The sequence below is a fragment of the Homo sapiens genome, chromosome 1 (genome assembly GCF_000001405.40).
Source record: "Homo sapiens chromosome 1, GRCh38.p14 Primary Assembly".
Classification (NCBI taxonomy): Eukaryota; Metazoa; Chordata; class Mammalia; order Primates; family Hominidae; genus Homo; species Homo sapiens.
The window spans coordinates 16,187,217-16,214,692 of record NC_000001.11 but is presented as its reverse complement, the minus strand read 5'-3'; the positions used below and the strand labels follow the sequence as shown (position 1 = coordinate 16,214,692).

Below are 27,476 nucleotides of genomic sequence, written 5' to 3'. Positions count from 1 at the left end.
TCTCTCAAACCTTAATGTCATCTGTAAAATAGGGACTTCATAGAACTGATGAGAGATTTCAAAGGGATAATGCTCATGACTTAACTTGTTAAGTTGGCCCCCCATATCCTCAGGTTCTGCATCCTTGGGTTCAACCAACAATGCATGGAAAATGAAAATAAAAACAAAAAATAACAAAAATAATGACAATAAAAAATAATGCAAATAAAAAACATTACAGGATAACAACTATTTACATAGCACTTACACTGTATTAACGTGTTATAAGTAATCTAGAATTGATTTAAACTGTACTGGAGTGCCGGGCGTGGTGGCTCATGTCTATAAATCCAGTACTTTGGGAGGCCAAGGCTGGTGGATCGCCTGAGCCCAGGAGTTTGAGACTAGGCTGGGCAACCTGGTGAGATCCCATCTCTACAAAAAATACAAAAATTAGTCAGGTGTGGGGGTGCACACCAGTGGTCCCAGTTACTCAGGAGGCTTAGGTGGGAGAATCACCTGAGCCCAGGAGGTCGACGAGACTGCAAGTGAGCCCTGTAATTGCACCACTGTACTCCAGCCTGGATGACAGAGTGAGACCCTCTCACTTGAGGACATTTTATTTTATTTTTTGACAATAAATACATAAAATAGACTGGGTGCGGTGGCTCACGTCTATAATCCCAGCACTTCGGGAGGTTGAGGCGGGTGGATCACTTAAGGTCAGGAGTTCAAAAACCAGCCTGGCCAACATGGTGAAACCCTGTCTTGACTAGAAACAAAAAAAATTAGTAGGGTGTGGTGGCATGCGCCTGTAATCCCAGCTACTGGGGAGGCTGAGGCAGAAGAATTGCTTGAACCTGGGAGGCAAAGGTTGCGGTGAGCTGAGATCCCACCACTTGCTCCAGCCTGGGTGACAGAGCAAGACTCCATCTTAAAAATAAATAAATAAATAAATAAATAAATAAATAAATAAATAAATAAAATAAAATAAAATAAAATTTACTGGAGGATGTACAAAGGTTATAGCAAACACTATGACATTTTGTATAAGGGACTGGAGCAGCCATGGATTTTCGTATGGGAGGGTTCTAGAACCAATTCCCCACAGATTCTGGGTACCAAGGGACAACTGTACTCACCTGATAAGTGGTAGCAGTATCTACCTGACAGGGTCATGGTGGAGATTAAATGAGTAAATACATGTGAAGTGCTCAGGACAGTGCCTGGCACCTAGTAGGTGAACAATAAGTTAGCTTCATGACTATTAGTCTGTGTACACATCTGCATATTAATATTAGGTGCCTGGCAATTGCTGGTAGCTCAAACAGATGGCAGGTAGAATTAGGGGAAAATGCAGCTTCCCATTCCACAGGGTTGGGAAGATTGCATGCCGGGCATAGAGCATGCCCTTCTTATTGGAGGCAGTTTGACTTGGCTATTTGGCTTGGTTTATTGAGGGCTCAATTGGTATAGTCTGGGAAGGCTTCATGGTGGAGGCGGCCACTGGAGATGGTGGGGCAGGTCATTCCAGGCCGTGGGAAAGGATGGGGATTTGCAAGCAGTGGCTGTACTAGATGAGGAGAGGCTGTCCAGGATGATGCCACATGTCACATCATCAACTTTCAGGACTGATTTCTGTCTCCCAATCATAGGGATGAGTGTTCCAATTTGATAGATGTAGTAATAGGATCAGAGAGGGTCATCAGGGTTCTCAGGGTCCCTAAGGAGTGCAGGGCTTGGGAGGCTCTCTGTGAAGCTCCCAGGATGCTCCCCAGCTCCAAGAAGTCCCCTGAGCATGCTCATGTTTGGGAAGCTCCAGAAGAGTGGTGACCTGTCTCCTAGGAGCAGAAGCACTGCCTCCCCCGTCTTTAGGACCTGGGTGTAGGGTCCTTCAGAGCCTCACTTGGGCATAGGACTCCCATTGTTCCAGCCCCCCTCTTGTACCCCAGACTAGCCAAACCGGTTCTGGGGAAGGGGGGCGGGGAGCAGGCACGTTGAGACAGCCGCCTGCCTCTCTCTGCAAGGTTCCCTCCTCCTTCACCTCCCCCTCCCTGCCCCACACAATACCCAGGAGCTTGCCTTGCTCGGCTCTGGGGCCATGCTGACATGCTGACATCGCCCCCTGAGGACTTGGCTGCAACCCCAGAGCCCCCAGGGTGTCCCGGAGCCCTGGACCGTGCTGGCAGCTGGACGGAGCTCCCTGGCTGAGGTAGGGCCCCACCTGGGTGCCAGCAGTCCCATTCTCTTCCCGCCAGTTTTCCCCGCTGAGTGAGCCCTTTGTGCTGCCCGCCTGGTCTCTGATCCTGGCTCTGACCCACTATGGCCTTCTGGGGCTCTGTGAACCACTTGGCCTGGATCCACTTTCCAGCCATGACTTCCCACCTGGCTTTATTCCTTAAAGGGCAGAGAGGCTCTGGCAGGGTACCAGCTCTCCTGGGCAGCAAGGCAAGGGGCACCCGGGAGGGGGCAGGGAAAAGCTAGGTACAGGAGGCCAGAAACACTTTTTCTGATCATGGTAGTGTCCAGGGACTCTCTGGCAGCCTTGCTAAGTGGGCCCATCGTCTTCTGTAATTAGCAGCACCCACCAAGGGTACTTTCCTCGGCCCCTGCCCATCCTTCTTGGCCCAGAGACATTTATGATGAGACATGTTTCTTAGAGAGGGCATTGGGCGGTGGTGCGGTCCCTTAGGAGCCACTTTACAGATGGGAATACTGAGGCCAAGGGATGGGCTGTGAATTGCCTAAGGCCACACAGCTGGTCAGTGTCAACACTGGGCCTCAAAGCTTGGGCGGAGGTTATTCTTTTTGGGCTCCAGAGTGGCCCTTGCCTAGTAGACACAAGAGTCTCTATCCTGTGATCGTGCCTTGGGAAGGTAATGTCCCTGCTGTCTGGGGCCAGTTCTCTTTCTGAGGTTTTTGTTTGTTTTTTTCTAACAGAGATGAGCTACACACAATATGAACACAGCTTGTCCCTCTTAGCTCCCCAGCATTGAGGTTGGGTGGGCCAAACCCCTGGAGGGCCACAGGGCTGGCATCCCAGCTAGATGGGTCATTCTTATTACCCCTTGGCTTGAGCATAGGTGGAGGCTGACACACTCCTGACTTCTTCCCTGCTAGGGACCTGCCTCCAGCTTCATCTCCCCGGGAAGCCTTCTATGTCCCCTCTCCCCACATTCACCTAGCCTTCTCCTCTGCAGCCTTAACTGGGGGTGCTCCTGCTGCAAAGCCTCAATGTTTTGCCTACTTATCCCTGTGAGCCATGGGAGAGAGGGTCCCTCCCTGCCCTCCAGGAGCTTCCAGAACCCAAGTGCTAGAATCTCCCAGCATACAAAGGGGCAGGGGGCATGTGTACATGCCTGCACATGTGTGCCCCCAGAAGCAAGTGGGACTTCTGTGTCGAGGACTTCTGATTCCTGCAGAGAAAGAGACCCGTCTGTGGGCAGGGGCCTCCTTGTGCACACTCCTGCGATATAATGTGTGTCTCAGCCTCACTCCTTCATCTTCCCCATCTGTGTGAAGGCCTGAGCTGCCTTCTGTCTAGAGAAAGACTGATGATAATAAAAATACTATCCTATTTGCCGGATGAGGAGACCGAGGCTTAGGGAGACTCGCTCAGATGGGTACTTTTCAGGCTAGAGGGACAGAGGCTGATGGTACAAGCCAGAGTGGCCACCGTAGAGAGGACCCCTTTGGAGCAGCCAGTCCCCTTCTTCCCACCCTCCCAGACAGCAGGGTGAAGGGAGCAGGGGGAAGCAGTTGAGAAGCTGTGCAGAGAGACTGGGGCCTGCCATAGACCCAGCCATCTCTCGCTGGGTCCTCTTCTCCCTCCCTGTCTCCAATAGTGACTGACACTGTCACTGTTCAGGCCAAGGCTTTCCCTCTAAGTGCACTATGTATTTCAGCCGTGGAGCAGTTAACTATCACCTCCTCCAGGAAGTCTTCCTGGAATACCCAGGTTGAGTTGAGCCGAGCACCCTCCTCTGATGGTTCCTCTGGCTTGGCTCTTGCCAACCTGGATTGTAACTGTTTTCATTTTTGGCTCTCCCACTAGACTGGCAGCCCACGGGCATGAAATGTTTGTCCATCTGTCTCCCTGGGTTTTCTGGGCTTCATCTGTGTCTCTGAGGATCTGGTTGGCCTGAAATTGTCAGTGTCTCTGTCTCCATCTCTGGGTCCCTGAATGTCTCAGCATCTGTGGTTTTTCTGTTTTTGAACGTCTTGGGGTCTTGGTTTCTCAGTTACTGGCTAAGTGGTCTCTGTTTCTCTGGGTCTCTCTCAGTCTTCATTTCCTGGCTCTCCTGGTCCTGCCAGGCTGGGCACTGCCCCTTTGGCCTGAGGGGGCCTCTGGGGGGTCCTGGCTGCCCGGCCTGCCCACAGCGAGGCCAGGCTAGGGTAGGCCCCCGCCCAGCCCGCTGCCTGCTCCCTCCCTCCCTCCCTGCTTGCCTCACCACAGGGTTTGATGAATCAAACTCTTTGTCTGGGTGGGATCTCCCCCAGCCAGCTGGGCAGAGAGAGGGCTTCCCCTGCCGGAACAGCCAAACAGCATCAGCAGCGGGCCTGGGCCCAGAGAGGTGAGGGGCTGCAGGAGGGAGGCTGGCAGAGGGCCACAGGGCAAGAGCTGTGGGGGCTTGGGCCTCTCAGATCATCAGGCCTGCCCCGATCGGAGGGCTGGCTCCCCAGGGATAACTTCCTGCCCAGAAAGGACCCATCCAGCCTGGCCCACCCAGGGGCTGGAAGCTGGGGTGGGGGACAGCCCCTCTTTCACTCCAAGCCGGGGGTGCTGGGGCACCTCTTTGAACTTCGAGAAGGCCCCTGCCTGATCTGGGTGGTGGCCCGCCTGCCAGTCCATGACCCTCCCAGCCAACTTGGCATGGGTGTGGGCACCACTCAGCACTGAAGGCCGCAACTCTGGGCAAGGGTCGGGGAGATGGGGGGAGAAACATCAGAGCAAGGACCTGTGGGCTGGTGTGTGTCTGTGTGCATGTGAAGGGAACAGGAGGGTGAGAAATCTTGGGTGCCTGTGTAAATATCGGACGGGTCAGCGTGTTTGTGAGGAGTTGTCTGTGAATGTATGCGGTTGTGTAAAAATGTGTGTGTCTGTGACTGTGTGAGCCTGAGTTTGAAATGTCTGTATCTATGAAAGTGTACATGTCATTCTATACTTGGGAGAAAATGTAGTGTGGATGTATATGTTGGGAAATGGATTTGTGTGACAATGTATGTATTTGCATGTCTGGTGACATGTCAGTGTGTTTTAGAGAAGTACAAGGTGGTTAAAATCATCGATTTCAAAGCTAGAACGGCCAGGTTAGAATCCTGGCTCCACCATTTACCAAATAACCTCTCTGTGCCTCAGTTTCCTCACCTATAAAATGGGGATAATAAGAGCATCAACTCACAGCGTTGTTGTGAGGATTAAATGAGATAGTATGTGTAAAGTACTTGGCCTATCATTCAGGCAATGCCAAGCAAGTATCAGCTATTTCTATATAATTAGACATGTGAGTGTGTTTGTGGAGATGTGTGTACACAAGTGTACACAGGGGTTTGTCCAGGCCTCCAGGGGTGGTGGCTTACTGGCCAGCCCCACTGTCCTCTGTCTAGGTCTGATATCTTCTCTTCTGCAGGGCCAGGTGGGTGGCAGAGCAAAAGAGGAATGGACTGTGGGCCACCTGCTACCCTCCAGCCCCACCTGACTGGGCCACCTGGCACTGCCCACCACCCTGTAGCAGTGTGCCAGCAGGAGAGTCTGTCCTTTGCAGAGCTGCCCGCCCTGAAGCCCCCGAGCCCAGTGTGTCTGGACCTTTTCCCTGTTGCCCCAGAGGAGCTTCGGGCTCCTGGCAGCCGCTGGTCCCTGGGGACCCCTGCCCCTCTCCAAGGGTTGCTATGGCCATTATCCCCAGGAGGCTCAGATACAGAGATCACCAGCGGGGGGATGCGGCCCAGCAGGGCTGGCAGCTGGCCACACTGTCCTGGTGCCCAGCCCCCAGCTCTGGAGGGACCCTGGAGTCCCCGACACACACAGCCACAGCGCCGGGCCAGCCACGGCTCGGAGAAGAAGTCTGCCTGTGAGTCACCCTGGGGAAGGCGGGTGTGGGTGCCATGGCAGGGGGATAGGGGAGGGGCTGGGCAGCTCCTTAACCTTTATGTCCCAAGGTTCCCCCAAAAGTCAGGACAAGTGGTAGATTAGTGATAAGGAAACTAGTGGGGCTCAGGGAAGGCAAGTGACTTGTCCAAGGTTATGCAGTGAGTGAGTCACCATTCTGGGCAGCCTGATCCCTCTGTCTACTGCAGCCAGGCCCTGTGCTCTCCTTACCCCTCTCGTGGACCCCAGGGCTCTGGGGACCAGATGCTAGCAGAAACACAGGCCCTTCCCTTGGGCATGGTGCCTGAACCTCCCCAGGTGCTCAGGGCCAGGGGCAGCAGCAGGGAGGAGGTTGGGGGAGACCCCAGCCCGTGCTCTCACTCCTTGCCCCCAACCCTAGGGCGCAAGATGCGGGTGTACCAGCGTGAAGAGGTCCCCGGCTGCCCCGAGGCCCACGCTGTCTTCCTAGAGCCTGGCCAGGTAGTGCAAGAGCAGGCCCTGAGCACAGAGGAGCCCAGGGTGGAGTTGTCTGGGTCCACCCGAGTGAGCCTCGAAGGTCCTGAGCGGAGGCGCTTCTCGGCATCGGAGCTGATGACCCGGCTGCACTCTTCTCTGCGCCTGGGGCGGAATTCAGCAGCCCGGGCACTCATCTCTGGGTCAGGCACCGGAGCAGCCCGGGAAGGTACCAGCTCCTCCCATGGGCCCTGAGGGCAGCCAGATGCCGGGTGGGGGTGGGGGTGGGCGATGCCCACTCACCGGCCGCCTGAGGCCGTCAGGGTGCCTGGGCCGGGGCCCAGGCCCCAGGCCCACTCTCTGGACCCCCCACCCTCAGTTCTCGCCCTCTCCAGGGAAAGCATCTGGAATGGAGGCTCGAAGTGTAGAGATGAGCGGGGACCGGGTGTCGCGGCCAGCCCCTGGTGACTCACGAGAGGGCGATTGGTCCGAGCCCAGGTACCACCTCCCGTTTGGGCTTGGGTCCGAGACAGGGTGCAGGCGAACTAGGGCCGTGACGCTCTCTCTTTCCTAGGCTAGACACACAGGAAGAGCCGCCTTTGGGGTCCAGGAGCACCAACGAGCGGCGCCAGTCTCGATTCCTCCTTAACTGTACGTGGGAGGGGGGTCCCTGGGAGGAGGTAACGGAGGAAGGGGCTGCGGTGTGGAAACGGGGAAAAGAGGGTTTGGAGAGTTGAGAGGTAGGGATCGAGTGAGAAACGGAGAATGGAACTGTCGGTATCTAGCACTCAGTAGGTGCTCAATTTGTTTATGGAATGAATGAATGAATGAATGAATTCACTGTGTCCAGATATCCGAACCGCGGCAAAGGTTAAGTGACGCGGGCTCTTGAGGGAACCGAGGAAAAGCCGGGCAGGGGCTGGCGGGCGCCCCACGCTCTCCCCCGCCCGTCTTTCCCCCAGCCGTCCTCTATCAGGAATACAGCGACGTGGCCAGCGCCCGCGAACTGCGGCGGCAGCAGCGCGAGGAGGAGGGCCCGGGGGACGAGGCCGAGGGCGCAGAGGAGGGGCCGGGGCCGCCGCGGGCCAACCTCTCCCCCAGCAGCTCCTTCCGGGCGCAGCGCTCGGCGCGAGGCTCCACCTTCTCGCTGTGGCAGGATATCCCCGACGTACGCGGCAGCGGCGTCCTGGCCACGCTGAGCCTGCGGGACTGCAAGCTGCAGGAGGTGGGCGCGCGCGGGGACCCGGCGGGGCGGGGGCGGGCCGGGGAGTACGCGGTCCGGGGACTTAGCGGGAACCGGGCCATAGAGGGAGGGGGACACACAAAGGGGGTTGCTGGCGCGACTGTCCGCGCGGAAGGTTGGCTCTAGGACCTGACTACACGAGGCCGTCTGGAAGCGAGGACAGCAAGCCGCTGAGCGAGAGGCGAGGGGAGCCGGGCTTGGGTGCGGGTAGGGGGCGGAGCCAGCGGGACGAAACCTAGGATAGGACAGGGCCGGATGAGGAGCGGAACCATTGGAAGAGCAAACGCCTGGTGGGCGCGGAACAAGGCGGGGCCAGGATCAGGGGCGGGACCTGGGGGGTGGGCGGGGCTCTGGGAAGAACGCGTCGGGGCGGGGCTTAGGAGAGGGGCGGGATCGAGGACAGGAAAGGCTTGCACAATTTCCCGCGGCGGGACGTGGGTCGCCGGGCCCGCCCGGCGCCAGATTAGGAGTGGGGCTAGAGAAGGGGCGAGGACGCGAGGTGTGGCGTCCTGGGGTCTGGGGATGTGAGGCCAGGGCCTCCGAGGTGAACTGGTCCTGCCCTTTCGACCCCGTGTGTGCCCTCCCTCAGGCCAAGTTTGAGCTGATCACCTCCGAGGCCTCCTACATCCACAGCCTGTCGGTGGCTGTGGGCCACTTCTTAGGCTCTGCCGAGCTGAGCGAGTGTCTGGGGGCGCAGGACAAGCAGTGGCTGTTTTCCAAACTGCCCGAGGTCAAGAGCACCAGCGAGAGGTGAAGAAGTGGTCTGGCCTGGCCCGGGGTGGGGACGGAGCCAGTGGTTGGCCAGCTCCCAGATCTGGGGTCTCCATCCTGGCTCTGACTCCTCAGGTTCCTGCAGGACCTGGAGCAGCGGCTGGAGGCAGATGTGCTGCGCTTCAGCGTGTGCGACGTGGTGCTGGACCACTGCCCGGCCTTCCGCAGAGTCTACCTGCCCTATGTCACCAACCAGGCCTACCAGGAGCGCACCTACCAGCGCCTGCTGTAGGGCTGGGGGCTCTGAAAGGGGCGGGGGCGTGGAGGGAGTCTCAGGCAGGTGTAGGCACTGAGGGCTGGGTGACGTAAGGTGACTCTGGGAGGGGAGGGGTCCCTGAAAAGGTCTCTGTGACCAGGATAAGGTGAGATGCAACCCCAAAGGGCAGTAAGGATGTGCTGAGAAGCCCCCTGAGGACCCCGTGGATGGCCAGGGTTGTGGATCCCAGGAATTCAGGCCTACCTGTGATTCCAGAGTCCTCCCCATTTTCCAGCCTGGAGAACCCCAGGTTCCCTGGCATCCTGGCTCGCCTGGAGGAGTCTCCTGTGTGCCAGCGTCTGCCCCTTACCTCCTTCCTTATCCTGCCCTTCCAGAGGATCACCCGCCTCAAGATGTTGGTGGAGGTACCTCGAGGGGACAGGCCACAGTGAGGGCTGGGCGAGGGAGATACACCTGTGGGCGGGCCGGGTCTCGGGAGTATGAGGACTGCCTCATTGTGCTGATCCCACCTTCCAGAACATCCTGAAGCGGACAGCACAGGGCTCTGAAGACGAAGACATGGCCACCAAGGCCTTCAATGCGCTCAAGGAGGTGAGCTGGGCAGGGCAGGGGCTGCTTGGCTCCTGAGGCCCCCCCTGGACCCCCAGCACGTCTCTAAAACAGCCCCCAGCTGTCAGAGTCTCCGGTCCCCAGGCAAGAGTCTGAGGCTGGGCTCTGGGAGCCGGAGCTGAGGGGCTGCAGGTGACCTCCCCACGGCTCCCCCAGCTGGTGCAGGAGTGCAATGCTAGTGTACAGTCCATGAAGAGGACAGAGGAACTCATCCACCTGAGCAAGAAGATCCACTTTGAGGGCAAGGTGTGTGTCTGCAGCCAGCGGGATGGGGACCCCAAGGGGCAGCTCTTGTTTCTTCCTTGCCCTGGGGGCTTCAGGCCAGTTAATCGCTGCCCACACCCTCCCATCTACCATCTTGTGCTCTCTGCCTGGTGCCCCTGGGCCTGACCCATCCTTCTCCATCCCTCTAGATTTTCCCGCTGATCTCTCAGGCCCGCTGGCTGGTTCGGCATGGAGAGTTGGTAGAGCTGGCACCACTGCCTGCAGCACCCCCTGCCAAGCTGAAGCTGTCCAGCAAGGCAGTCTACCTCCACCTCTTCAATGACTGCTTGCTGCTCTCTCGGCGGAAGGAGTGAGTCGGGGCAGTCAGGGGTGGGTAGGTAAAGTGGAGCCAGGCTCTCTTCCTCCCCACCACTGGGCTTATGACCAGTCCATCCCTGGGCCTGGGAGTCCCTGCCTGTGCCAGGGTATGCTGCCAGGGCACCCTGAGATTTGGAGGCTCCTGAAGCAAAGGCAGAGATGTGAGACAAGTCCATGTTCCAGAAGGGAGAATCAAGGGCTAGACTGTATGCCGAGGACTTGGAGATGCTGTGAGCTTCAGCCAGTAAGAGCAGAGACTAAGAGCATAGCCCTAGAGTCCCAACTCTGCCCTGAGTCACAGCTATGCCAGAAGCCAACATTTACTCAGTACCTACTCTGTGCAAGGCATGCTACGTGGATTATTCCCTTTAATCCTCCAAATACCTCCCTGGGAAATAGGCTTCTCTGTTACTCTCAGATCATGGAGCTAGTAGGTGGGGGAGCCAGGAGGATGCCAGCTCTGTCTGATGGCAGCACCATGCCTGACTCACAGTGAACACTTGTTCAGTATTAGCTGGGATTGTTAGGAAGAGTGAGGTAGAAGACTACCTGGATAAGGTGAATGGGATAAAGGATGGACATGTGGGCTGGGCACGGTGGCTCACACCTGTAATCCCAGCACTTTGGGAGGCCAAGGTAGGAGGATCACTTGAGTCTAGGAGTTCAAGACTAGCCTGGGCAACATAGTGAGACCCCATCTCTTAAAACAAAAAAGGATGGACATGTTATGCTATAAGAAGAATTCATTCCTGATTTGTTTGTTCATTTAGTAAACAGTCACTGAATCTCTGTTCTGTAGCAGGCCAGTGCTAGGGACATAAATATGAATGAGACTTGTTTTCTGCTCACAGAAGCTCTCAGACAGTGAAAATACATTCTGACAACCATATCATCAGGGTTTTGATATAAGGGTGTACTGCGGTATTTCCTGGTGTGGAGTGAGAATCAATAAAGCTTCATAGAGGACAGGACATTTGAGCTGGGTTTTGAAGGATGAGTAGGAGTTTTCCAGGTAGACAGGTAGTTTGAGTGCAGGAGTACAGCAGAGTCATGGTAGGGTAGAAGAGCGGAATGTGTGTTTGGGAATCATGAAGCCTAATGTGGCTGGATTTGTAAAGGAGAAAGGCAGCAGAGGGAAGTTGGGATGTTGAAGGTCATGATAGAGAGGTTGGACTTTTTCTGAGGCAGCAGGGAGCGTGGAGAGTTAAGCAGAGGGATGATATTTTGCTCCTGGCCAATTTGGAGGATGAACTGGAAGGGGAGAGGCCAGAGGGTCTTGCAGTTGCTCAGGAGAGGGTAGATGCTCCAGAAGTGGCAGGGTACTTCAGGATAAGTGGATTCAAGGGACAATAAGGAGGAAAGACAGGACATAGCTACCAGATGGGTGTAGGGGGGATGGAAAGGGAAGAGGTGAGCATGACGTCTGAGTTTCCTCTTGGGCAAACTGGTGGGGTCTTTCACTGGAATGGAGAACAGTAAAGGGGATCTGGCTTGGAGTGGGAGAAGCTGAGTTTTTTCTGATGCCGAGTTTTGTTGAATGAGTTGACGTCTGTGGAACACCCTCCACCCATCCTGCCTACAAGTACTTACTGAGCCCAAATTGTGGGTCAGGCAGTATCATCAGACACTGAGATACAGTGGCAAAGAGACGAGGCTCAGCCTTCGTGGGGCTTATATACTGGAAGAGAGTTAGACACTCCTCAGGGGAGCTGTCCAGTTGGCTCTTTGGAACAGACGCTTGGCAGAGAGGTTCAGAGAGAGGTCATGAATCGCTTGAACCTGGAAGGCGGAGGTTGTGGTGAGCCGAGATCATGCCACTGCACTCCAGCCTGGGAGACAGAGCGAGACTCTGTCTTAAAACAAAACAAAACAAAAAGCCAAAAAACTAACAAATAAAAAAACAAAAAAAAGAGAGAGAGAAAGGTCAAAAGTGTGCTTGGGGCTCAGGGACTGGTCTCCATCACCTCCAGCCTCCACCAGCAAGCCAGCGGGGAAGGAGCTCTTGGTTCCTTGTGGGGACTAGCAGTGCCCTATCCAGAAGCAGGACCCTGTGAGAACGCTGGCAGGGCAGGCAACCCCTTCTCCCCACTTCCAGTCAGAACCCACCTGATCCCGAGGGTGGGTGCCTAGAGCCAGGGCCCAGGCCAGGCTGACCTCCCCTCCCCCGGTCCTCCAGGCTAGGGAAGTTTGCCGTTTTCGTCCATGCCAAGATGGCTGAGCTGCAGGTGCGGGACCTGAGCCTGAAGCTGCAGGGCATCCCCGGCCACGTGTTCCTCCTCCAGCTCCTCCACGGGCAGCACATGAAGCACCAGTTCCTGCTGCGGGCCCGGACGGAGTGAGTGGGCCTGGATATGGGAGAGAGGAGGCTCCCCCTCCCCATGACAGGCACCCCGTCCCCATGATGGGCACCCCGTCCCCATGGCGGGCACCCCTGGGACATCCTGGCCTTGTTCCTCCCCAAGTGCTCAACTCTTCCCTGACTTGGGCAGGACACAGGGGCAGAGGGCAGGGCTGGAGGCCAGAGTAGGGGTGCCTGCCCCACAGGTGGTGTCAGGGGGCTGCCACCTCCTCCTCAGCCTCTGGGCATCTCTTGGATGTAAACCTCCACACCCTGCTATCTCTGGCTTCAGGACTGTGGCATTAGGCAGGATGGGGGTAGGGCTGGCATCCAGGGGGTTCTGGGCCTGTTATGCTCAGAGCTGGGTGGGGCACAGGCTTGGGAACCGGGTTGTGGGGTGGGCCCTGGGGTGGGGCAGACATGGGTCCCTAGGGTAGGCCTGGGTCCTAGGCCTGGACATCATGTCTGGCTCCCCCAGCCTTGGTTTCAGCACCCTGCCCTGGGCAACTGCACTTTGCATATTGTGACAACTTAGCCTCCCCCTTCCCTAGAAGTGAGAAGCAGCGATGGATCTCAGCCTTGTGCCCCTCCAGCCCCCAGGAGGACAAGGAGGTCATCAGTGAGGGGGAAGGTAGTAGCTCATCCCTGCTGCTTACATCCCTGGGCTGGACCCTCGCCCGCTCTCCTCCCCTCCCATCCTGGGTGCTGTGTTGCTGGCAGGGCTATGGGGAGAGAGACCAACTTCTGGGGCAGTCAGGGGTAGCTCTGAGGAACCTTGAAGGCTGGGCAGAACTTACATAGCACAGGTGGACTCTGTGTCCACAGGCAGCATCCTGGAGATCATAAAGCCTTCGTAGCCTCCCATTTCACCCCTGTTTTACAAGTTAGAAGAGAGGTTCAGAGATAAATGGACTTGTGTAAGTTCACCCAGCCAGTAAGTAGCAGAGCCGAGACCAGAGCCCAGGTCTGTCTCCATCTTTGCGTCAGTTGCAAACAAGACAAGAAGCAGCCAGAGCCAGGGTATGAGGGGTGGTGGGGGTAGTGGTGGCAGGTGAGGCATCTGCTCAGCTGGAATAAAGGTTTTTCCTTTGGGTGTGAAGTGAGGCTGGTAAGCCAGGGTGCGACCTAATCATAGAGAGCCTTCCTATAGTGTCCCTAGGGAGCTATTGAAGGTTTGTTTGGGGTTTTTTTGAGACAGGGTCTTGCTGTATTGCCCAGGCTGGAGTGCAGTGGCATGATCATGGATCACTGTAGTCTCAACCTCCTGGGCTCAAGTGATCCTCCTGCCTTAGCCTTTTGAGTAGTTGGGACCACAGATATGCACTACCACACCTGGATACCACACCTCTATTTTTATTTTTTGTAGAGATAGGGTATTGCTATGTTGCCCAGCCTGGCCTCAAACTCCTGGACTCAAGCAATCCTTTCCCTTCAGCCTCCCAAAGTGCTGGGATTATAGGCATGAGCCATTGTGCCTGGCTTATTGGAGGCCTTTATTTATTTATTTTTTTGGAGACACAGTTTTACTCTGTACCCCAGGCTGGAGTGCAGTGGCACAATCTCTGCTCATTGCAACCTCCACCTCCTGGGTTCAAGTGATTCTTATGCCTTAGCCTTGCGAGTAGCTGGGATTACAGGCACTTGCCACCACGCCTGGCTTTTTTTTTTTGAGACAGAGTCTCACCCTGCCATCCAGGCTGGAGTGCAATGGCACAATCTTGGCTCACTGCAACCTCCACCTCCCAGGTTCAAACAATTCTCCTGCCTCAGCCTCCCAAGTAGCTGGGATTATAGGCGCCTGCCACCATGCCCAGCTAATTTTTGTATTTTTGGTAGAGGCAGGGTTTTGCCATGTTGACCATGGCTGGTCTCGAACTCCTGGCCTCAAGTGATTCACCTGCCTCAGCCTCCCAAAGTGCTGGGATTACAGGTGTGAGCCACTGCACCCAGCCTTAATGGAGGCTTTTGAGCAGAGGAGTTAGGGCTGAGCTTTAGGTAGTAAAGGGAAAGAAAGGGCACTCATGCCCACTGAGCGCCTGCCATAGGCCAGGCCCAGGGCTAGGGGCCTTGTATTTGCATTAAATCTAATTTAATCCTCATGGCAACCCTACTAGGTAGACATTTTTCATATCTGAGAAAACTCAGGCTTAGAAGGTGAAGTAAATTGGTCACACAGCCAGTAAGCGGCAGAACTGGGATTCAAGCGAGGTCTGGCCCCTCAGTCTGTGGCTTTGGATGCTACCAGCCCACCTGGTCTAATGAAAAGAGCTGAGGACCAGGAAGGGGGTAGATGCTCTGGCTTGAGCTAGGAGTCCCACCTGGGTGGGGGTAAGCTCTCTATTCCCAGGTGGTCAGGGGAGGTCCCTGGCAATTAACATCTGACCCCTGAAGGATGAGGAGAGGTTGTCACGAAAAGATCTGGGGAAGAGCATCTGGCAGAAGGAAGAGCCAGCACAAAGGCCCTGGGGCAGGAGGGAGCTTAGAGTGAGGAACAGCAGGGAGGCTGGTGTGGCTGGAGCTTTGTGAGCGAGTAGGGAGGGAAAGTGGAGGGGAAAGTAGGGAGGGAAAGTGGAGGGGAGAGTAGGGAGGGAAAGTGGAGGGGAGAAGACGAGGATAGCAGGGGGCGATGCCAGACCATGAAGGGCCTTGTAGGGCCTAGGGAGGACTTTGGATTTTATTCTAAGAGGACTGGGAAGCCCTGGAGGGCTTTAAACGGGAGCGATGCAGCTTGAATCCCAGTTGGGAAGGATGGGCCAAAGGGAGCACCAGAGTGATGTTAGGGGCACATTGCAGGGCCGTTACTGTTTTCTGTGGGGTATCTGGGGGCAGTTGGACGTTGGGGTCTGAAGGTCACAAGCAAGGTGTTGGCTTGAGCTGGGGAGGGGACAGCCCTTGGTATAGAGGCAGAAACTGAAGCTGGGAGGGACTGGATTAATCCTGCACTTGTGTTTAGGGTAGGAGAGGAGATAGGCCAGGGTGGGCAGAGGGTATGCCTGCTTGAACGTGGGCCTGTGGCATGGCAGTGGCAGAGGAATAGAAGCCTCAATGGCCACCTTCCCACCCCCTTACTTCCTCCTACTGCCCCTCCCTGCCCTACCCATGCTCCTCCCCCTGCCATCCTGCCCTTGGGACTCCCTGAGCCTCCCTTGGGCTGTCAGATTGCCCCCAGGTTCAGTGTGTTAGGACATACAAGGCACTGCACCCAGATGAGCTGACCTTGGAGAAGACTGACATCCTGTCAGTGAGGACCTGGACCAGTGACGGTGAGGGGGCCTCCTGGGAAAGTGTCCCTGATGGGGCTTGGGTGGGCAGGAGGTGGCTAGATGACTAAGATATCACAGGGAAAGGTTCTGCAAGTGTTGATCTGCCACAGCATGTGGGAATCAGGTTAGATGAGAGGAGGAACTTCCTGCTTGTAAAGATATAGGATGGAGAGTGATGGGGGAGAGTGGGAAATACCCTTTCAGAGGATATCAGGAAAAACAGGTCAGAAGTTCATCTGCAAGACAGCTCAAGACAGGGTCCTTCCTGGAGCTGAGAGATGCTGAGATGATGTCACCTTGGCCCCAAGGGTGCAGACAAAGCTTGCATCAGGGCTGTGGTGTTCCCTTCCAGGCCTGGCCCTGGTACCCCTTTGATGCTGTTGTTCTTGGCCTATGTGTCCCTAGGCTGGCTGGAAGGGGTCCGCCTGGCAGATGGTGAGAAGGGGTGGGTGCCCCAGGCCTATGTGGAAGAGATCAGCAGCCTCAGCGCCCGCCTCCGAAACCTCCGGGAGAATAAGCGAGTCACAAGTGCCACCAGCAAACTGGGGGAGGCTCCTGTGTGATGGGCAGCCATGGCCTAGGACCCCACCTCCATGCCTGGCTCCTGGATGGTCCTGGAGGGGCCTGCAGTGTCTCCATTCCCCAAGCTGCTCCTGCTGGCACTTCGCTTCTGTGGCCTTGGCATTGAGGGCACAGGCTGGACACAGGAATGGGGGCGCCTCCAGAGGGTCTCTCCGTCCTCATGCTCCTCAGTGTCCACACTTCAAGGCCAAGGATAGTTTCTTCCTCTGACATGGGGACCATAACAGGTGATCACTGATACCTGGCAAAGACTGGGGCCCTCTCCTTTCTATGTCCTCAATCCTGCCTGACTCTTGGTCCTTCTGGCAGGGACCTGGCTGGGGAACGTTCTGGTGCTGATGGTGCTGGGACCTATATGTATATTTATATATATCTGGGGTCTTGTCTACCACCTCCCCTGGTCAGAGCCTGAGTGGGTGCTGGTTGCTGTGTCTTGTCTGTAAATAAACTCCTATCATGCCTTTGCTTGGAGTCTGTGATCCATCTGATGCTGCCCCCACCCCCACAGTCCTATTTTCCCAGCTAAAGACCAGGAGAGTCTCCGGCTGGCTCCCAACTGGGGCTTTGCATTTCTCTAGAGTTCATCTCTGAGCTGTAAGGGTGACCAGGGGGCAGGGGGACGATTGTGTATCAGCTAGGCTGCTTTTGGCTGCAAGTAACAAAATATCAGATACAAATAGGCTTAAACATTAAAGAGATTTGATTAGTTCTTTATTTGTTTCCTGTGGCTTCTATAACAAAATTACTTCAAACTGAGTGACTTAAAACAATATTTTCTTCTCTCACAGTTCTGGAGGCCGAGTCCAAAATCAGCAGCACTGGGCCCACACCCAGGGGCTGTACCCCCTCCCGGGGCTCGAGGGGAGAGTGGTTCCTCACCTCTTCTCGCTGCTGGTGGCTGCCGTGTTCCTTGACTTGCAGCCGTATCACTCTGATCTCTGCCTCCGTGGTCACACTGCCTTCTCTGTGTGTCTATACCAAATTTCCCTCTGCCTCCCTCTGATAAACAAGTGATTGCATTTCAGGCCCACCCAGATAATCTTCCCATCTCATAATCCTTAATTTAAATCACATCTGCAAAAACCCTCTGCGCCCCCGCCCCCCACTTTTTTGTCATATGAGGTAACATTCACGGGTTCCAAGGACTAGGGCATGGATATCTTTTGGGGGCCATTTTTCAGCCCAAGCTGGAGTGCAGTGGTGCAATCTTGGCTCACTGCAACCTCCACCTCCCTGGTTCAAGTGATTCTCCTGCCTCAGCCACCTGAGTAGCTGGGATTACAGGTGTCTGCCACGATGCCCGGCTAATTTTTATATTTTTAGTAGATAAGGGGTTTCACTATGTTGGCTAGGCTGGTCTTGAACTCCTGGCCTCAAGTGATCCACCTGCCTCGGCCTCCCAAAGTTCTGGGATTATAGGCATGAACCACCATGCCCAGCCCCTCCCACAGTTTTTGTCACTGAGAAGTATAGAACCAATGCAGGCTTCAGGCAAGGCTTGATCCAGTGGCTCAATGATGTCACTGAGGACCCAGATCTTTCCATTTTTCTACTCTGTTGTCCTTGGTGTTGGCTTTATCCTAAGGCTTCCAGGGGCTTCTTCATTCACATCAAACATGGAATAAGAGAATTGTCCTTGTCTCAGCCTTCCCAGAGTCCTGGGATTCTCTCTGGTTGGATCAGCTTGGCTCACATGGCTACCTCTGGGCTGATCATGGCGGTGCGGATGGGCCTAGCCTAAGTCCTGTGCTCTATCCCTGGAGCCAGGCTGGGGAGTTGTCTTCCCTGGAATCCCGTGGATCCCCAAGTGGAACGTGGTGGCTGCTGCAAAGGAGGGGTGGGTGCTAGAGAGGCCAATGCTTATTACATCACCCAAAAGAGTGGAAGGGCCTGGGAATAATGAACTTGGAGATGTGAACACCTGTGGGGCTGGGAGCATCCTTCAACCCTCCAAGGGAGGTCATGGGGCAAAGAAAACAGGTGAGTCAGGGTGATCCAGAGGGCAAACGTGGGACAGGTGGGGAGAAGCTCAGATCCATGAGGAAGTCTCTGGGAATGACTTTCTATCATGGTGTAGTATAGGGACGAAGGAGCATGTGGGCTTAGGAAGCAGACACATTGGAATTTTTTAAATTTTTTTATTATTTTTTTATTTTTTAGACAGGGTCTTGCTCTGTTGCCCAGGCTGGAGTGCAGTAGTGTGATCATGGCTCACTGCAGCCTCCCAGGCTCAAGCAATCCTCCCGCCTCAGCCTCCTGAGTAGCGGGAACTACAGGTGTGCACCGCCCTGCCCAGCTAATTAAATTTTTTTTAAGTTGAAATTTTGCCATGTGTTGCCCAGGCTGGTCTTGAACTCATGGGTTCAAGTGATCCTCCTGCCTCAGCCTCCCAAAGTGCTGGGAAAACAGGTGTGAGCCATCATGCCCAGCCTTGAATTTTTTTGTTTTTTGTTTTTTGTTTTTTTGATTTTTTTTTTCTCGAGACGGAGTCTTGCTCTGTCACCCAGGCTGTAGTGCAGTGGTGCAATCTCAGCTCACTGCAACCCCTGCCTCCCAGGTTCAAGTGATTCTCCTGCCTCAGCCTCCCGAGTAGTGGGGATTACAGGTGTGTGCCACCGTACCTGGCTACTTTTTGTATTGTTAGTAAAGACAGGGTTTCACCATGTTAGCCAAGCTGGTCTCGAACTCCTGACCTCAGGTGATCCACCCACCTTAGCCTCCCAAAGTGCTGAGATTACAGGCGTGAGCCACTGCGCCCAGCCTCCAGCCTTGAATTTGAATTCTGCTTCTGACATCTATATCCCATGTGATTTTAAGAAATGAACTTTTTGTTTTGGAATACTTTTAGGTTTATAGAACAGTTGCAACAATGGTACAGAAAGTTCCATCCACCCCTTTCACAACTTCCCCCATTGTTAGCGTCTTACGTGACTACGGTACAGTAGTCAAAACTAAGAAACCAACACTGGTACACTGCTATTAACTCAACTCCAGACTTGATTCGGATTTCACCAGTTTTCCCACTAATGTCCTTTTCTGTTCCAGGATCCAATCCAGGATCCCACATTGCGTTTAGTTGCCGTGTCTTAGTCTTCTGTGGTCTGTGACAGTTTCTCAGTGTCTCCTTGGTTTTCATGACCTTGACAATTTCAGAAGTTCTGGTCTGTGGACTATCCCTCAATTTGGGTTTATCTGATGTTTTTCTCATGACTAGCCAGGAGTTATGGGTTTGGGGGAGGAATACCACAGAGGTAAATAAAGTGCGCTTCTCATCACGTGATGCCAGGAGGCACGCGATGTCCACGTGACTCGTCTCTGGCAATGCTAGCCTTGATGACTTGGTGAAGGTGGTGTCTGCCAGGTTTTTCTTTTATGAAGTTACTCTTTTTCCTCTCTCTTCTCTTACTTTCTTTCTTCTTCTTTTTTTTTTTTTTTTTTGATGGAGTCTTGCTCTATCGCCCAGGCTGGAGTGCAGTGGCACGATCTCAGCTCACTGCAAGCCCTGCCTCCCAGGTTCACGCCATTCTCCTGCCTCAGCCTCCCAAGTAGCTGGGACTACAGGTGCCCGCCACCACGCCCGACTAATTTTTTGTATTTTTAGTAGAGATGGGGTTTCACTGTGTTAGCCAGGATGGTCTCGATCTCCTGACCTCGTGATCCGCCCGCCTTGGCCTCCCAAAGTGCTGGGATTACAGGCGGGAGCCACCGCGTCCAGCTTCCTTCCTTCCTTCCCCTTCTTTCTTTCTTTCCTTTCTTCTTTTCTTTCTCCCTTTCTCTCTCCTTTTCCCTTTCCCTTTCTTTCTCCCTTTCTCTCTTTCTCTCTCTCTTTCTTTTTCTTCCCTTCTTTCTTTCTTTCTTTCTTTCTTTCTTTCTTTCTTTCTTCCCTTCCTCCCTCCTTTCCTGCCTCTCTTTCTCTCTTTCTCTTGCTTTCTTTTTGAGACAGAGTCTGGCTCTATTGCCTAGGCTGGAGTCCAGTGGTACAATCGTGGCTCACTACAACCTCTGCCTCCCAGCCTCAAGCCATCCTCCCACCTCAGCCTCCCGAGTAGCTGGGACCAGAGGCACATGTCACCACACCTGGCTAAATTTTTTTTTTTTTTTTTTTTTTGTAGAGATGGGGTTTTGCCATGTTCCCCAAGCTCATCTTGAACTCCTGGGCTCAAGTGATCTGCCTGCCTTGGCCTCCAAAGTGATAGGATTACATGTGTGAGTCAATTTTTTTAATTTTAATTTTTTGTAGAGAAGAGGTCTTGTTATGTTGCTCAGGCTGGTCTTGAACTCCTGGTCTCAAACAATTCACCCTCCTCAGCCTCCCAAAGTGCTGAGATTGGCCAGGTGTGGTGGCTCATGCCAGTAATCCCAGCACTTTGGGAGGTTGAGGCGGGCGGATCACCTGTGTCAGCCTGGGCAACATAGTGAGACTCTGTCTCAAAACAAAACCAAAACAAAAAAAAAAACCAAAGTGTTGGGATTTCAGACATAAGCCACCATGCCTGGCCAACTATTTTATTTTTATTTTTTGTAGAGACGGGGTGTCACTGTGTTGCCCAGGCTGGTCTTGAACTCCTGGGCTCAAGCGATCTACTAACCCCAGCTTCCCATGAGGTTGAGATGAGCCACCATGCCCAGCCCCCTTTTCAAATTCTGTTCTTTGGAAGCAATTTGAGCCCACATTCAAGTTGGCGGGGGCGGATATACTTGGGGCCAATTATTTGGAATTCTTCTGTAAGGAAGTTTTATTCCTTTCCTTCCATTTATTTGGGAAGTCATTTACAGTCATGCATTGCTTAATGGTGGATACATTCAAAGAAAGCACTGTTAGGCAATTTGGTCATTGTGAGACCATCATAGAGGGCTGTTACACGCACCTAGATGGAGGAGCCTGCTACACACTTAGGCTATGTGGTGTAGCCTACAGCTCCTGGTAACCTGTGCTGCATGTTACTGTACCGAACACCGTAGGCACGTTACTGTACTGTAACACAGATCACTAGGCAATAGGAATTCTTCAGCTCCGCTGTAACTTTATGGAACCACCATCATCTATGCGGTCCATTGTTGACTGGCAATGTAGAATGTCACTATGCAGCATATGACTGCATTTCTATCAGCATGGACCTCTGCATTTATTATTTTATTTTATTTTATTTTAATTTAATTTAATTTTATTTTATTTTATTTTTTGAGACAGAGTCTCACTCTGTCACCCAGGCTGGAGTACAGTGGCGTGATCTCAGCTCACTGCAACCTCCGCCTCCCAGGTTCAAGTGATTCTTCTGCCTTGGCCCCGAGAGTAGGTGAGATTACAGGAGTGCACCATCACGCCTGACTAATTTTTGTATTTTTAGTAGAAATGGGCTTTCACCATGTTGGCCAGGCTGGTCTCGAACTCCTGACCTCAGGTGATCCACCCGCCTCTGCCCCCCAAAGTGCTGGGATCACAGGCATGAGGCACCATGCCCAGACTGTTATTTTATTTTTCAGATGGTTCCGGCTTTGGCCATTAGGAGCTCTTTCAGATGAGCTCCTGTGTCTGTTTGACATGCCCCCATCTTTCTGTTTTTTGAGCATTTCCTTGCTTTCTTGCGCTGCATTCCAGAGCAAGATGCTCTGGAATCACCTTGCATTTTTTCCTGCCTCAGTGCTAGAATCAGCCATTTCTCCAAGGAGTCTGATCCTTTTATTTTAGAGACAGGGTGTGCTTATTGCTGCTGAGGCGTCACTGCTTCTAGGCCCTCTCATCAGACAGAGGTGGGAAATATATATATAGATAGATAGATAGATATATACACACACACACGCACACATATATATACATATATTTATATATGTGTATACATATAGATACACATATATGTCTATATGTATATACATATATGTGTGTCTCTATGTATACACATATATAAATATATGTATATATAAATACACATGTATACATAAATACACATGTATACATATATGTTAATATATAATATATACTTACATATATAATGTATGTATACATATATAATATATACGTGTGTGTATATACGCACCATGTGATTTTTAGGCAAGACACCAACTCTCTTTACAGCCTCTTTAAGGCTCCAAGCCCCATCTGCAAAATGGGGACGGTGATAACGTTTCCTGCCTCATGGAGCCACCATGAAATGAAGTATGTAAGTGGTTGACACAGTGTCTGGCCCATAATTAGTCAAGAGAAGTGGTGGCTTTTATTGTGTCAGAGCTGCACAGCCAGAGCATGGGGGCCCTTGCGAGGTGGGGAGGCCCCCGTCCCCTGAGGATTGAAGGAACTCAGGCAGTCTGGGAATGGGATTCCTGTACTGAGTAGAGACCAAGGGGCCTGTGTGTTTCTTCCAGTGCTGAGTCTGCCTGAAGAGCGCCCAACTTGGCAGCAGCTTGGCAGAGCAGAGGAAACAGGCTCTCCTGCATTCAGCCTGCCCTGGCACATCTGGAATCTGGCTGACACCTGAGTCTGGGTTAGACTGCTGGGGGCCAGGGGGCTGGCTTTGGGGCTGTGCTTCAGGCAAGGAGGCCAGGGCTGCTCACCTGGCCCACTTCCCTCATTCCTCACCTGCTCCCTGCCCACCTGCCCAGGGGGTAGATCTGGGCCAGGCATCTCAGGGGAGCCCCTCTCTCAGTGGTGCCTGCCTCTGCCCATCATGCCCTGCCCTGGTAGGGCTTTGGCCAAGGACCCAGGGCCCTGCTCCTGCTTGCCGCAGAAGGAGGAGGAAGCTGGGGGGTGGTATCTGCAGGACAGGACCTGGAGATGGCGTCTGGGGTGGGAGTTTTGGCCCCTGAGGCTGTCTGCCCAGCCAGTCTCCAGTCCTTCAGGAGCTCCTCCCCACCCAGTGCCCATGCCCTTCTCTGCAGCGATCCTGCTCTGCAGAGACTGTAGGGACCCTGCTACCCCTCCTCATTCCTCCTGGTCCCCAAACTCTGAGCCTATTGTTTAGAAGATTTTGTCCTGAAATGAAACTGTTGAGAAAGAAACTTATTTGATTGTTCATTTTCAGGGCACACTGAGGTTTCATAAGAACCAGTGAGCCCTGGCTTCAGCCCAGCAGGCACTTCAGCTCTGGGGCAGACAGTGTGGCTTGCTTCTTTGTTGATGTCCTCCCTCCCTCCCTCCCTCCCTCCATCCCTCCCTTCCTTTCTTCTTTCCTTCCTTCCTTTCTTCCTTCCTTCCTTTCTTCCTTCTTCCTTCCTTCATTTCTTCCTTCCTTCTCCTTCCTTCTCCTTCCTCCCTCCCTCCCTCCCTTCCTTCCCTTCTTTTTTCTTGCTCTGTCGCCCAGGCTGGAACGCAGTGGCACGATCTCAGTTCACTGCAACCTCCACCTCCTGGGTTCAAGTGATTCTTGTCCTAGCCTACCGAGTAGCTGGGACTACAGGCGTACACTACTACGCCCAGCTCTCTTTCCATCTTTCCAATCCCCTTCATTCTCCTCTCTGATTGTGTCACCTATGGACCAAAGGACATCAGCAGCATCCCCATCCTTGGTGACACTCCCTAATGGTGAGACAGACAAGTAAACAGGTGAAGTGCAGGGCCCCACACAGAGTGTTGTCAGGATGTGGGGCAGCAGGAATTCTACACTGTTGGTGGGGTGTGAATTGGCACAGCTACTTTGGAAAACAGCTTGGCTGCATCTGCAAAAGCTGAACTTGCCTATGCTATGACCCAGACATTCCACTGCTTTCTTTGGGTATACACCCAACAGAAATGGGTACATATGTGCCCAAAAAGACCTGAATTAGCATGTTTTTAGCAGTATTATCCATTAATAGCCAAAATGCTAGAAACTACCCAAATGCTCATCAATAGTAAAATGAAAATCCTGGTATATTCACACAGTGGAACACTACACAGTCACGAGACTAAACTGTCTACAACTACAAGTACTGTCTGTGTCTGCATAGGCGAATCTAGACTGAACGTGAGAGAAGCCAGACGCCAAAAAAAAAAAAAAACAACAACAAAACAAATTAGTTGATTTGCATAAAGTACAAAACCAGGCAGACTAATTGATGGATCGAGGTCAGGGTGGGGAGCGCCTGCAGCTGAAGTAGTGACTGCTTAGGGAGGGACTGCTGATGTTGCTTCCACAGGGCTGTGCACTTTGGGACCAGTCCATCAGGCTGGGCGCCTAAGATCTGTGTGCTTTTCTGCATGGGAGTTAAATTTCAGCTGAAAGCTTACACAGTGCAAACTGTGGGGCTGTGGGGGCACAAATAAGGGAGCAGCCTGTCCTCACTGGCAGTCAGGGTGGGCTTCCTGGAGGTGGTGCCACTGAAGCTGCATCCTGAGAGCTGAAATGGAGGTGACAGGAGGGGGACAGTGCAGAGCCGAGTGGCCACTCTGGGATTCCTTGTTGATCCATGTGGTGACCTGTTTTCTGTTGTCTCCCCCACTGGACCGTGAAATCCATGAAGAAAGGGCCTCTGGCTGTCTTCCCAGTGCTGTGGCCTCATTGCCAACTGCCATGCCTGGAACCCAGGAGCAGCTCAGTGAATATTTGTTGCTGGGTCTGAGCCCGGCTCTGCATGAACCCTGAGCCCGAGCTCATAATTGCCCCTCAGACCCGCTCTGCTTCCAAGTCCCACCCCAGCTCTCTTCCCTCATTTGAGCTACTTGGTGCCAGTATGGTGGGGTGGAGGGTCTGGATGCCCTCGGGCTGTGGGCGGGGCTGCCCCATCTGGGCTGAGACTGCCCTGGACACCAGGAGACCCACTGGGCCGCTCTTTTTTTTTTTTTTTTTAGATGAAGTCTCACTCTGTCGCCCAGACTAGAGTGCAGTGGCACCATTCTGGGTCACTGCAACCTCTGCCTCCTGGGTTCAAGCGATTCTCCTGCCTCAGCCTCCTGAGTAGCTGGGATTACAGGCGCCCACCACAGCGCCCAGCTAAGTTTTATATTTTTAGTAGACACGGAGTTTCACCATGTTGGTCAGGCTGGTCTCGAACTTCTGACCTCAAGTGATCTGCCCCCCTCAGCCTCCCAGAGTGCTAAGATTACAGGTGTGAACCACTGCGCCTGGCCTCGCTTGGCCACTCTTGTCACCCTGACCGGGATTTGAACCTGGGTTTGCTCTCACTTCCTGTCCCCAAGTGTGCCTTCCCCTTCCCAGGATCCCACTCTCCCGGCGTTTGTCTCCCCCCAGATTGTATTTCTGATGCTACTGGGAGAAAGAACTAAAATAAATGGGCTGACGTTGTAGCAGGAGGGACTCTGGTGGGACTTAAGGCAGAGTTTGCCAACTGTGGGAACTGTCTCAGACACCTGGGCGAGTGGAGGGAGTGAAGCTGGGGAATTTCTTCCCCTGAGCAGCGTGAAGAACAGGATGAACAGTCATCTGCTTGGGTGGGGCACAGCGGGGTGGAGAGGATGACCTTTGGAAGCCACTCTCAAGCTCTTGGCTCATGAGCTGCCCTGAGGGTTGGGAGCTGGTCAGGAAGGAGGAAGGGGTAAGCTATTGGGTCTAGCGTTTCGGCTGCTGGAAGGGTGTGGGAGGAGAAGAGGGGCACTGAAGGAGGCAGAAACCAGGCCTGCTTTACTTAAATGAGGCAATAGGATTTGGGGGATTGGAAGGTTCCTTAGAGTTTCCAAAGCAGGGTGTGGGAAAGTCCAGCACCGGGTTTGGAGGCAGGTGGACCTGGCTTGAGTCTTGCTTTAACTTATAAGCCACGATGCTCTAGGCAAGCTGCTTCCCCTCTCTGAGCCTCAGTTTCCTCATCTGGTAAACGGGCATGATAATGCAGCTACAAGAAGGTGATGCCTTGGAAAAGGACTTCGAAAAAGCCCTATGCAAAGGGGAGTTGATCTCCCAGGACAGACTGGCCAAGGATTAGTATATAACGACAGCCATGTTATTCTCTCCAACCCAAGTGCCAGGTGTTAGGTCTTTTAATAGCCACCTAAATTCCAGAAGGGTATATTTTGGAGGCCAATTTAGTTCAATAGATGGTTTGTTGTTGTTGTTGTTGTTTGTTTTGTTTTTGACAGAGTCTCATTCTGTCGCCCAGGCTGGAGTGCAGTGGTGTGATCTAGGCTCACTGCAATCTCCACCTCCTGGGTTCAAGCGATTCTCAAGTCTCGGCCTCCTGAGTAGCTGGAATTACAGGCATGTGCCAACATGCTTGGCTATTTTTTGTATTTTTAGTGGAGGTGGGGTTTCACCATTTGCCCGGGCTGGTCTCAAACTCCTGAGCTCAAGCAGTCCTCCTACCTCGGCCTCCCAAAGTGCTGGTGTTACAGGCATGAGTCACCACGCCCGGCCAGGTGTTAGGTCTTTTAATCCTTATAACAACCCTATTTTTGTCACCCCGTTCCACAGATGAGGAGTCTGAGGCTCAAGGAAGTGACATGACTTGCCCAAGGTCACATAATCAGTTGGAACTTGACTAGGGACTTACATTCCCATCTGATTTCAGTCCAGAACCCTGCACTCTGTTTGGTGCAGCCTATGATTGACGGAGAAGGTACTTGGCAAACCATAAAGCAATGAATATCATCATCATCGTCATCGCCATCATCGTCATCATCATGAGTAGCAGCAACAGCATTTTATTTTTTTAGGGCAATTGCGGTTCTACAACGGCAGTAATGGGAGCAGCATCCTTCCCAGCCCAGCCACCAGAGGGCGGCAGAGCCCAGGGCTGGGATAGCGGGGTCCTCCGAGCGCAGCCTGCTCATTGCCCACATTCCTGTGGGTTGAGTCCTCCTGAGGCTTGGCTGTGTCTGTGGGGCAGGGGTAGGGAGTAGGGGCAGGGGCAGTGGGCTGGGTAGAGGGAAGGGAGGGCATAGAGCCCTGGAGACAGGAGCACATGGCCAGTCCTGGCCTCAGCTGTGAGGGTTCCTAAGTCTGAAACATGCTCAGAGGCTCCAGAGACCACCCCCTTGGTCCTATGATGTCCCAGTCCTTCATGTCAAGTTCTTCTTCTTCTTTTTATTTTTCTTATATAAAAATATGAATCACAGAAATAGTTAGTGGTTGTATTTACAATTTGAACTTCATTATCACATGGCACAGTAACTCACATAATGTATCCATTCTTTATATTGGTGTAATTTTTTTTATACTTTAATTTCTGGGATACATGTGTTGAACATGGAGGTTTGTTACATAGGTATACACGTGCCATGGTGGTTTGCTGCACCCATCAACCCGCTATTTACATTAGGTATTTCTCCTAATGCTATCCCTTCCCTAGCCCCCCATGCCTCCCTTTTTTTTTTTTTTTTTTTAAGAGTCTCGCTCTGTCACCCAGGCTGGAGTGCAGTGGCACAATCTCAGCTCACTGCAACTTCCGCCTCCCAGGCTCAAGCGATTCTCTTTCCTCAGCCTCCTGAG

General features: G+C 53.4%; 1 protein-coding gene across 3 annotated transcripts, besides 5 other annotated features; it reads left to right on the top strand.

Moving 5' to 3' along the window:
- Nucleotides 1,539-2,237: an enhancer, noted in NCBI's record as "H3K27ac-H3K4me1 hESC enhancer chr1:16538951-16539649 (GRCh37/hg19 assembly coordinates)". NCBI's record gives its function as "activates a minimal SCP1, AML or CMV promoter by ChIP-STARR-seq in primed H9 embryonic stem cells {active_cell/tissue: H9 hESC(primed)}" and the evidence as "EXISTENCE:reporter gene assay evidence [ECO:0000049][PMID:30033119]".
- Nucleotides 2,041-16,839, top strand: ARHGEF19 (Rho guanine nucleotide exchange factor 19). Of its 3 annotated transcripts, XM_011540706.4 has the most exons (17): nucleotides 2,041-2,191; nucleotides 4,480-4,553; nucleotides 5,610-6,050; nucleotides 6,468-6,749; nucleotides 6,916-7,018; nucleotides 7,095-7,171; nucleotides 7,483-7,745; nucleotides 8,353-8,513; nucleotides 8,610-8,762; nucleotides 9,026-9,155; nucleotides 9,268-9,342; nucleotides 9,517-9,606; nucleotides 9,774-9,934; nucleotides 12,119-12,277; nucleotides 12,832-12,911; nucleotides 15,439-15,543; nucleotides 15,949-16,839. In XM_011540706.4, exons 3-17 carry the CDS (start codon nucleotides 5,639-5,641, stop codon nucleotides 16,104-16,106), a joined length of 2,409 nt encoding a protein of 802 aa, XP_011539008.1. In that variant the 5' UTR covers nucleotides 2,041-2,191; nucleotides 4,480-4,553; nucleotides 5,610-5,638; the 3' UTR covers nucleotides 16,107-16,839. The 3 variants fall into 3 exon arrangements, 2 of the variants coding, with proteins under 2 accessions (XP_011539008.1, NP_694945.2); NM_153213.5 differs by lacking the exon at nucleotides 4,480-4,553; XR_946544.2 differs by lacking the exons at nucleotides 4,480-4,553; nucleotides 9,026-9,155; nucleotides 9,774-9,934; ... (2 more) ...; nucleotides 15,439-15,543; nucleotides 15,949-16,839 and having other exon boundaries at nucleotides 9,517-9,541.
- Nucleotides 5,455-6,427: an enhancer, noted in NCBI's record as "H3K27ac-H3K4me1 hESC enhancer chr1:16534761-16535733 (GRCh37/hg19 assembly coordinates)". NCBI's record gives its function as "activates a minimal SCP1, AML or CMV promoter by ChIP-STARR-seq in naive H9 embryonic stem cells {active_cell/tissue: H9 hESC(naive)}" and the evidence as "EXISTENCE:reporter gene assay evidence [ECO:0000049][PMID:30033119]".
- Nucleotides 6,428-7,401: an enhancer, noted in NCBI's record as "H3K27ac-H3K4me1 hESC enhancer chr1:16533787-16534760 (GRCh37/hg19 assembly coordinates)". NCBI's record gives its function as "activates a minimal SCP1, AML or CMV promoter by ChIP-STARR-seq in naive H9 embryonic stem cells {active_cell/tissue: H9 hESC(naive)}" and the evidence as "EXISTENCE:reporter gene assay evidence [ECO:0000049][PMID:30033119]".
- Nucleotides 7,448-7,897: a silencer, noted in NCBI's record as "silent region_326". NCBI's record gives its function as "represses an Ori minimal core promoter by ATAC-STARR-seq in GM12878 lymphoblastoid cells {active_cell/tissue: GM12878}" and the evidence as "EXISTENCE:reporter gene assay evidence [ECO:0000049][PMID:35858748]".
- Nucleotides 8,098-8,167: a silencer, noted in NCBI's record as "silent region_325". NCBI's record gives its function as "represses an Ori minimal core promoter by ATAC-STARR-seq in GM12878 lymphoblastoid cells {active_cell/tissue: GM12878}" and the evidence as "EXISTENCE:reporter gene assay evidence [ECO:0000049][PMID:35858748]".
- Nucleotides 16,840-27,476: the final 10,637 nt, after the last annotated feature.

Excerpts from the sequence above, each read along its gene's own strand:
- ARHGEF19 (NM_153213.5), top strand. The coding sequence starts at position 5,639 with ATGGACTGTGGGCCACCTGCTACCCTCCAGCCCCACCTGACTGGGCCA. Across the intron at positions 6,051-6,467 it reads CTCGGAGAAGAAGTCTGCCT|GGCGCAAGATGCGGGTGTAC; the intron begins GTGAGTCACCCT and ends CCCCAACCCTAG. Across the intron at positions 12,912-15,438 it reads GGTCATCAGTGAGGGGGAAG|ATTGCCCCCAGGTTCAGTGT; the intron begins GTAGTAGCTCAT and ends TTGGGCTGTCAG.